The 9,743-nt window shown below is 41.9% G+C and overlaps 1 protein-coding gene across 1 annotated transcript; it reads right to left on the reverse strand.

Annotated features, from left to right (window-relative positions):
* Nucleotides 1–4,441: 4,441 nt before the first annotated feature.
* ZC3H11B (zinc finger CCCH-type containing 11B) lies at nucleotides 4,442–9,535 on the reverse strand. The gene is made up of 2 exons (NM_001355457.3): nucleotides 9,361–9,535; nucleotides 4,442–8,993 (listed from the first exon to the last, which is right to left on the reverse strand). Exon 2 carries the CDS (start codon nucleotides 8,490–8,492, stop codon nucleotides 6,075–6,077), a length of 2,418 nt encoding a protein of 805 aa, NP_001342386.1. The 5' UTR covers nucleotides 8,493–8,993; nucleotides 9,361–9,535; the 3' UTR covers nucleotides 4,442–6,074.
* Nucleotides 9,536–9,743: the final 208 nt, after the last annotated feature.

Here is a 9,743-nt window from a genome sequence, read left to right on the forward strand (position 1 = left end):
TTAAAAAGTATGTATTCATTTGACAGATATTTAATGGGTATCGATTATGTGCTTGGAAAACAATAGTGAACACAACAGGAAAAGTTGGTCATTACAGAACTAACCTTCTAGTAAGAAATAAATAATATTTTAAAATAATAATAATAAAATTTCAGTTGGCAATATTGCCATGAAGATATAAAACAGAGCAAGAGAGACAGTGGCTGCTCTTTTAGCTAGGATGGTGAAAACCCATTTGAAGTGGTAACACTTGAGTTAGACATGGAGCTTATATGATAATGATAAACCAGCCAGTGGAAATGGGAATCGCTCGAGAAATGGAGCCACTCCTTGGAGAAGAAATGAGCTTAACAAATGAGCTGCTCATAGAACAGTAAGAACTAGATGACTGTAGCAGAATGAGAAGGGTGTGGAAAGAGCTAAGGTTCAGATGAGGCAGAAGAGGTAGACACGGCAAGGTCACATGGAGCCTTGAAGGGCATACTGAAGAGTTTGGGTTTTTTTATTTCCTTGTTTTTGTTTTTGACTAACAAGGGTTAGTCAAACAGACTAACCTTGGCATAGTGTGTGAGGGAGGGAACTTCACAAGAGTGTGGGTACTCGGAGGCAGGCAGGATCATTGAGGGTCATCTTGGAAGCTGGTCACCACTAATCCCAGATATATCTATATCTATAGATAGATAGATAGATAGATTTAGACAGAGTCTCACTCCATCACCCAGGCTGGAGTGCAGTGGCATGATCTCGGCTCACTGCAACCTCTGCCTCCTGGGTTCAAGCAATTCTCCTGCCTCAGCCTCCCGAGTAGCTGGGATCACAGGCACATGCCACCTTGCCTGACTAATTTTTGTATTTTTAGTGGAGATGAGGTTTCACCATGTTGGCCAGCCTGGTCTCGAACTCCTGACCTCAAGTGATCTGTCTACCTTGGCCTCTCAAAGTGCTGGGATTACAGGCATGAGCCACCACACCCAGCCAAGAGTTTGTATAGTCCAGTGCAATGGGAGGGACCTGAAGGGGTTAGAGCAAGATAGTATTGTGATCCAGTGCATACTGAAAGGATCAATATGGCTATTCAACCAAGAAAAATTGAACAGGGATCAAGGGGAGGAAGACAAAAGTAGAAGTAGACTGGAGGCCAATTGTCTAGGCAATAGATGTTGGGGCCTTGGATGTCACTGTGAAAGGGAGAGAAGTAGTCATGTCTGTTTGAAAGTAGGATCAATTGGACGTGCTGTTAAATTGGCAGTAAGAGGCAAGGGGAAAGATACATAAAGGATAACCATAGAATTTTTACCGGGAAGCTTGGTTGCTATTAACTGAGATGGGAACTGATGTTCATTAAAATTAAAACACATTCCCATAATCACACTTTAAGTACCAGAGCGAAGATTCGAATTCAGTTCTTCCTAATGCTCCAATATTTTGGGGTTGGTGAGCTGATTAATGTCTACTAGTGTGTTTACTTATTTAAAAGTCCCCCTTTTAAGCTAGAAGCTCCTCAGTGACAGAGACTTGGTGATATCTGATATCTAGTCATAGGAACCAGAGGCACATGAATAATGCTTTTTTGAGAACATTTGTAACAAGATATGACAAGTCTATCAGGCCCCATGTTTCCCATCACCCTTGGCTGATTCACCAGTTTTTTTCTTTAAGGCAGCTATAGATGCTTTCTATAGTGTTGGTTTTGAATTCTGCTATGGAAGTACAAATGTCATTTCAGAGGCCTGCAAACTTTCCCCTTCTAAGGAAGTGTATGGGTGCAATTACGAACATATGTTAACGGAAATAAAACACATGCTAATTATTTCCCTACACGCAAAACTGTCTTGATGGAACCATCAACAGCCTTTATTTATTTGAGGAAATCTGACGAAAGAATATCTCATCAGCTATCTCATAACATTCTGTATTTGATTACCAGTCGAAATACTCCAAACTCCACACTAGTTTTTTCTAATTTTTTTAACCCTATAGGTTTTAATACCATGCAATTCTCAACCTCTGCATGACTTTTTTCTCCTTGTAAACAATTAGGAGCCATCTGGTTCCATGGATTTCCCAATCCTCCTGAGAATTTAAACTTAACACACCAAAAGGTTTGATTCGCCCAAGCACTACTATTACATTATTCAACTGGTTTTCTAGTCTTGGATCTTAAACAATATCTTCCTTAGAAAATCAGAAGAAATTTTCTCTTCATACTTCATATAATCCTCTTGCTCTATGTATAATACTAAGCTTTGAGGACCTCCTCAAAGCTATCTTGAAATGATTTACCAAAATATTTGCCAACTTGCCTCTTTCTATGGCAACATATAACTCAAACTGTATCACTTTGTCAATCCCAGTTTTTCTAAGTACCTGTCAAAAAAATTCAAAGGAGTTGGAGTTAGATAGAAAAAGAAACAGATTCCCCTTGGCACCTGTTTGTGCAATGTTGAGCTATGTCTGGGTACCCACTTCAATCTGAAACATTTGCATTCCTGATAAATAGGGGGAGTTTTTTCTGAGAAGGCTAATGAAAACAGAGATCTTTCTCACTCAAGATACTAACCAACTTAAAACACCCTGGCTCAAATCCCTTTCTGATAAACACCAAGATCTTATTATGTAATAAAGTTTATTGATATAGTATTAAATGGCCCATTGAGATGTAGCCTAAGGAAAATTTCTTGGAGATTTTTATTATGGCATATCTGGTAAGAAAGTTGTTTTAAACTTGTCAGGCAAGACATTATCTAAAAGGCTCTTTATTCAGCCTGAGGCAGTGGCTCACGCCTGTAATTCTAGCACTTTGGGAGGCCAAGGCAGGTGGATCACCTGAGGTCAGGAGTTCAAGACCAGCCTGGCCAACAAGTGAAACCCTGTCTCTAATAAAAATACAAAAAATTAGCTGGGCGTGGTGGGATGTGCCTGTAGTCTGTCCCAACTGCTAGGGAGGCTGAGGCAGAAGAATCGCTTGAACCCGGGAGGTGGAGGCTGCAGTGAGCTGAGATCACACCACTGCACTCCAGCCTGGATGACAGTGAGACATCATCTCAAATAAATAAATAAATAAAAATAAAAGGCTCTTTATTCAATAAACACACTTATACACACATAGAAGTGGGAGAGTGGGGGAGAGAGAAGAAAACTTCCAAAGTTACCTAGGTTTTTGTTGGACAAGATTAGATACTATAATGCTCCTCATTCTTATTATTTTTACTCCCCAAAATGAGGGGATAACAACTGAATTTTTCTCGTACACACTAAAGCCACAGTCTCAGAAAAACATATCCCACAATTTAAAGGAAGAGTGGTGATGATGGGTACAGAGGAGGAATTATCTTTCATACAATGCATTAAGATATTCCAAGTGATTTATGGATGTATTTGAGAATTAATGGATTGAAGCTCCTGAAAACTGCTAAGAGAAACTGAAAATGGAAACATTAGTTGTTCACATTAAATCTAAACATGTTTAGAGCAAGTTTAGGGACTATCACTTCTCAATGTGATAGAATAACTGGTACCAAATCTGTCTCTCTGCTGTAAACAGCTAGGAAATTGGACAAAATACATGAGACAGCTGTTTTCAGACGTTAGAAAACAGACACAGCACAGAAGTGTGAGTCTTCACAACAGGAAAAGAAATGAGGTAAGCCCTAGAACCAACATGGCTTTCTGGATGTAGGCACTTCCAAGACTGCAGTAAGAGAGGAGGAACCATGACAAGGCAGATCCAACTTACTGAATTTAATAGACAGAGATCAGAGTTAAAGGAGCTAAAAGAGCTGAAATGTGAGGCACAGAGAGAAAGAACTCCAGAAATCTATACAGGCAGCTATCCTGAGTCCTTCATTGAATATTAGGCTACATATGCATGAAATGAAACTCTGTGAGGCCAGGCAAAAACAGCTACTGGGATTTGTGAGCTGGGGGTTGAGTTGCAGCCAGCCAGAATGGAGGCATTGCTGACCACCCTGAATATTTCCTCGAGCCTCCTGAAGAGGCGTGCTTCAAAAGGATAATTAAATTAGCCCTAAAGAAAAACTTACTCTAGACGCATACTCCCAAACTTAAAAATACGCTTAAAAAGGATCAGGTTGAATGGTAAGTAACTTAACTCCCTGGCAAAACAAAATTCGGCTTTCCAGAGGAAGACTACAAAATCTAGACTTTCTTTTTTTTTTTTTTTGAGACGGACTCTTGCTCTGCTGCCCAGGCTGGAGTGCAGTGGCACGATCTCAGCTCACTGCAACCTCCGCCTCCCAGGTTCACACCATTCTCCTGCCTCAGCCTCCCAAGTAGCTGGGACTACAGGCACCCACCACCACGCCTGGCTAATTTCTTTCTTTCTTTTTTTTTTTATCCTACATCAGTTTTATTTAAAACACAAACAAGTATTTCTCTTTCTGTAAGGGCAAATGGTTCAAATAATGCGGAACACGAAACATTGACTAATACAAGTTTATTTTTTAAAAAAGCAAAAGAATAAAGAATATATACAAAAGGGACCTGGAATCTGTAAGCTGATTCCAAAAGCGAAATAAGTAGAAAATCCGTGGTGAAACCTGAACATTCTACCCCTGCTTTGGAGAAGGGCTATCATACAACATTCAGTCAGCTGAAGATGGATTGGTAGAGGTGTGTCGATACATAAATTTCGAGTCATTTTTGCTTGTGCAGAATCATCCCAATCTTAACAAGACTGAATGGGCAGTCCTGTGGCTTTCTTCCTTTTCCATATTCCCAACAAGGCTACTTGAAGTTCAACTCTTGATGAGCCGCTTACAACAGCAGTTCCTTAGGAGCCAACATGACAGGTGGGTCAGATTTCCCTATGAGAAACAAAACTGGCCACCTACAGCAAAATATCAAAATGAGTAAGTCCTGCCTTCCTCTTCCTCCTGATTATATACAACATATCTCCTTTCAAGACTATTATTTCCATCATGCTTATTCCTTCACAAATCTAAACCTTGAGGTGATATGAAGGAAACCAACATCAAGAAGAGAAAACCCAATTCAGAAATGAAGAAAACTGGCAGGTATACAATACACCCCCAGAGCATCTCAATATCCCTGGCACAGTACAATTCAGTGTACTGCTACAGCCCATAGATAAATATTGGCAGCTTGAATAAGCTCATTTTTTCCCTCAGGTGGTTAAAGGCCACCACATAAATACTGGGCAACAGGGGTTTGTTGGGAGAATTAGAAATAAAAAATTAACCAAATTTTGTCCCTGTGTTAATTCAATGCCAGCAAGGAGGCAAGTACTGAAGAAGAAAAGGAACAATTTTCATACTAAAAAAGAATTCCTCTAATCATGTCACCATCTCATATAATGAATCCAGGGAATCCCAGAAATAGAAAATTAGTTTCAGGGGACCCCTGAGGCACTTTAAAGCCTTTTAAAAAATTACAGTAATAATAAATTAGATATTGCTCTTCAGAGGCCAACAGAGCAGCAGAAGCATCAAGATCAGGTCCAAAGAGTTATGCCCACATTACAGGCTTCCTGAGTTGCTCAGCCCTCTTTAAAGCTTAGTTGAATCTCTAAATACCTTTAAAAAGACATACAATTTAACACAGACTGAGTGGGTATTTTTGTTTAGTGGTAGCATAAAATTTGGCCCTTAATGGTAGCAGCTGTCTTCATCCATTTCAAACTCAGGTAATATTAAGTACATTAAGACAATACATAAAGAATACAACAAAGGAGAAAAAAGCCAAAACTGACAAACACCTCAAGGAGTCACTAAGTTTGCTTGCACCCTTTCACTTGATCTCCCCCTCAGTCTCTTTTTTGTGGAGAGAAGGGTATGACAGAACTTTTTTCTCAAAAGATGATAAACAATGGCATCAAATGGACAAAATGGTTATAAAGTAACTTTAAAAATCTGACCCCAAGGAATCCAGGACACATACAGATAATTCAGAGGTATACTTCTGATTTGGGGCAAATTCTAGACTAAAGAAATGATCATCTCAGGTAAATGTTACAATAGATGAAACTAAGTCCAGTTTTTTGGCGATTTTTTTTTAAAGTGTCCTCACTACCACCTTCAGCTATCAATCATTTCTCATAGCTCAAGCGGAAGGTCATCTTCATCTTTCCCAGGATCCAGGTCAATCTCAGCTTCCAATTTGCCTCCTGAAATCTCCCATGTTAGTTTCTCAAAATCATCCTCCACAGAGAGTGGGGGCTTTCCTGTTGAGGCAGAGCTGAGTCGGCGAGTTTTCATGCTCATTTGGGATGAGGAAGGGCCAGACACCTCCGGGGGTGAGGAATCTGAAGAGGACTGGGTTGGAGGCAGCACAAGACTGTCTCTAGGATTTTCTGCTTCAGGCACAGTGACTGATTTGTCCTCAGAGTCAAGCAGGACAACAGCATCCACAGCTGCCTTTTTGGCTGGGGGTTCCTGTAGGACGCTGCTGGAGCTGAGTGGCTTCACAGCGGCAGTGACAGCAGGGTGCATCTCCACTGCCTTACGTTTTGGGGCCAATTTGGGGGATGACACAACTTTAACCACAGATTGCTTCACGTTCACTGTGGGTTTAGCTTCACCCCTTTTTTCCAAGGTCTGTGCTGACCATTTCACATTCAATAATGAGTCTGCAATCCCTGAGGTTTCTACCTCCACCTTCTGGGATGACTTTGTGGGAAGCTGCTTGGTCAGGTGCCATGTGATTCCTGGCACAGCAGTGAGCACTGGTTTCTCTGCCACTTGGGTATTGCAAGAGGCTACATCTCCCTGAAGAGGTGTCAAGACTGATTTTTCCCTCTCCTGCTGTTTCTGCATGCGCGTCTCTCTCATGATCTCACATCTCTTGACTTGAATTTTAGTGATGTCAACTCCTGTGGTCTCAACTGAAGCCTCTGTAGCTTCCATTCTAACACGGCTCAGAAAATCAACTTCATTTCCTTCCTGAAGTTTCTTCTCTTCTTTCCTCCATGTTCTTTTGGTGATTCGCAGCAGCAACCTTGCCCCTGGAGTGGCCTCATGTTGAGACGGGGAGCTGGTGCTGCTCTCAGAGCTCTGCTGCACCCTCAGTGCCTTCTCCAGTTTAATTTCTTCCACCGTCTTCATGTGCACCTCCTGCATGGACTTTGTTTTACCTGCAGGCTCCTCTGATTGTCCTTTGCTGGCAACAATGGGTGGCAAAACTACTGTTTTTTTAATTTCACTATCAGTCTTTAGCTTGATGCAAGTTGTATCCTTTTTGCTTTTTTGTCTCTCTGCTTCCTGCTGCCTATGTTCTTCTTCAGCCAGGACCTCAGAGAAGGTTTTGATACGGATAGTGGAGGAGCTTCTTGCTCCTGAAGTAGAATCATCAGTTTTTGAAGGTCCTTCTGTCTTGAGTTTAGTTTGCGATTCCCCATGTTTCTGACTGGCTCTTTCAAGAAGCATTTCTTCTAATGTCTTCACATGGATCTCACCAACTTTATTAACTTTATCTGTTGCGTCCTCATTATTTGGATCAGCTGACATGCCTAATCGCTCCTTAAGAGACTTGGAAACTTGAGCTTTCTTTGGTGTTTCGTCAGTGTTAGTTTCTGGAGCTTCAACTTTCTTCCCTAGCCTCTGTGCCAGGCTACGCTTTAATGGAGGATCACTGTCACCGCCTGTCGAAAATTTTCGTTTCCCCAGTGTCTCAGTAAGGCCCAATCTAACCAAGGGTTCTTCTCCTTGTTTGGTGGAGAGAGTTACTGTCCTCACCACAGTCCTGACATTTTCTTTTTCAGGACCTGGAACAGGCTCAGGGTGGAGTAAAAGACTGGAAACTCCTGAAGAACCCTCACCTTGCTCCTCAGATTTTTCCTTCATTTTCTTTGACTTAATTTCCTCAAGAGTTTTTATTCCAAAATGCAAACATTCACCTTGCTTTATATTGACTGCAGGTTTCCGGACAGAAGTCACTCGTAATCCATTGTGAACTTCAGGAGTTGGTTGCAGGGTAGGTGTTTTGGTTTCATCACCTTCCTCAGAAAACTGATCATCATCATCTTCATCATCATCTGCAGCATTAATTACAACTGGTGGATGCTTGGGGCTAGGAACATTTTCGGAACTTTCTACTTTCATAACGCTCCGCAGCTGAGGGGAAGTATTGGACTGGACAGACAATTTGTTCTGCTGAACTGAAAGTTGGCTAGCCTTCACTTCCTCTTCTGGTGACTCAGGCACAGTGGGCAACACACTTTTGCTCGGAGGTAGGAAAAGGCCATCAACATATCGTCCTCTATTGTGATGGAAAACGCAGTTTAATTTTTGACATCCTGTTGGCTGATTTTCCCAATAACAAGGAATTTCACTGCGTTTTTTATCAATCTCCATGTGCCGAAACCTGCACACCCGTCGAAAACAGCGCCCTTCTTGCCATAATGTGCAAACAGTTTCATTGCCTAGTGCAGCTTCACAGTGACGGAATGGGCAGCTGTCACCTTTGGTACATGTAGAATAGAAAAAAAAATAGCAGTCTTCTCCTTGATTAGGCATGCTGGGTAGATTCTTAGATCAGAAGTGGCTTCTTGAAACAAGCCACTGCTTCCTCAAAGCAAGGACCAGGCTCCAAGTCCTCGTGAAATGGGTTTAATCTTCCAAATGACAACTTGATCACAGAAATTGTCTTTAAACTGTAATCATTAGCTGGTTGCTCTCAACAGGAACGTCTGTGTCTTCACTGAGTTCCAATCTATTATGCCTGTAGGTCGAACCAACACTCAATCCATGAATTAATAATAATGAGGCAGAAAAAATTTTCCTCCTCACATTGCCAAGAAAACCTCTCAGCCACAATTCAAACACAGCATGTGTTTTTAAAACATCTCCCAACTACTGGGAGATTAAGTCCATTCAAATAACCTTTGTCAGACTGGAGACAGCAAGGGTTAGTTATCTCCTCAAAAACAAAACAAAAAAAAGAGTTCATTTAAAGATGAACTTGAGAGTCAAAGGATCATGAAAAAAAATCCATCTTCCATAGCTGAACAATATAATCTGAAAAACAAAAAAACATTTTTCAGTAAGATCCAATTTCTGGTCTTCAAGATTTCTTCACACTTAATACTAGTCAATTTTCCAGGAATTTTTTGGGCAGGGAATATCCCCAAATCCTAAAAAGCATCACTATCTCTAGTTCCACAGCCTCCTTCTCAAGGTCCAGAACCTTGAGATGGCCTGGAAGATGTCAACAGTATAGGCCTTCCCCACAGGAATCCGCACCAATTATGGGAGTTTAGGGGTGTTCTTCATTACGGTTTCACCAATCCTACAAGGAGTACGGAAGTGTCCCTGTTGCTCTTGACTCCCATGCTGAGGGCCAGGGGTGGGAGTGTAATGAGGGTGGGGAATGGGTGTAGGATACCGGAATAAGGTTGGTGGCTTTCTGTATGTGGAGTTTGAGACAAGCTCCAAAGTAGTGGGACCCGAACCGATGACACTATCCCCGACTCCCGCTTGCTGCCACGTCTTTCTTCTTGCTTGGCCGCTGCCGTCCGTCGTCCTCCCAGCAGCAGCAGCACTAGCAGAAAACCAAGACTGCCAGCGTCAAAGATGGCGCCCGGCTACAGGCTGCGCTCTAAGGCCCGGCCGGTAAAAGTGCCAGCACGACGCAGGGCGCGAGGGTTCTGGAAGATGTAGTTCCTCTATGACGCGATGCCTAAGATCTAATTTCTTATATCTTTGGTAGAGACGGGGTTTCACCGTGTTAGCCAGGATGGTCTCGATCTCCTGACCTCGTGATCTGCC

Source organism: Homo sapiens, chromosome 1 (assembly GCF_000001405.40).
Source record: "Homo sapiens chromosome 1, GRCh38.p14 Primary Assembly".
In the NCBI taxonomy this organism is placed as follows: domain Eukaryota; kingdom Metazoa; phylum Chordata; class Mammalia; order Primates; family Hominidae; genus Homo; species Homo sapiens.

Excerpts from the sequence above, each read along its gene's own strand:
- ZC3H11B (NM_001355457.3), bottom strand. The coding sequence starts at position 8,492 with ATGCCTAATCAAGGAGAAGACTGCTATTTTTTTTTCTATTCTACATGT.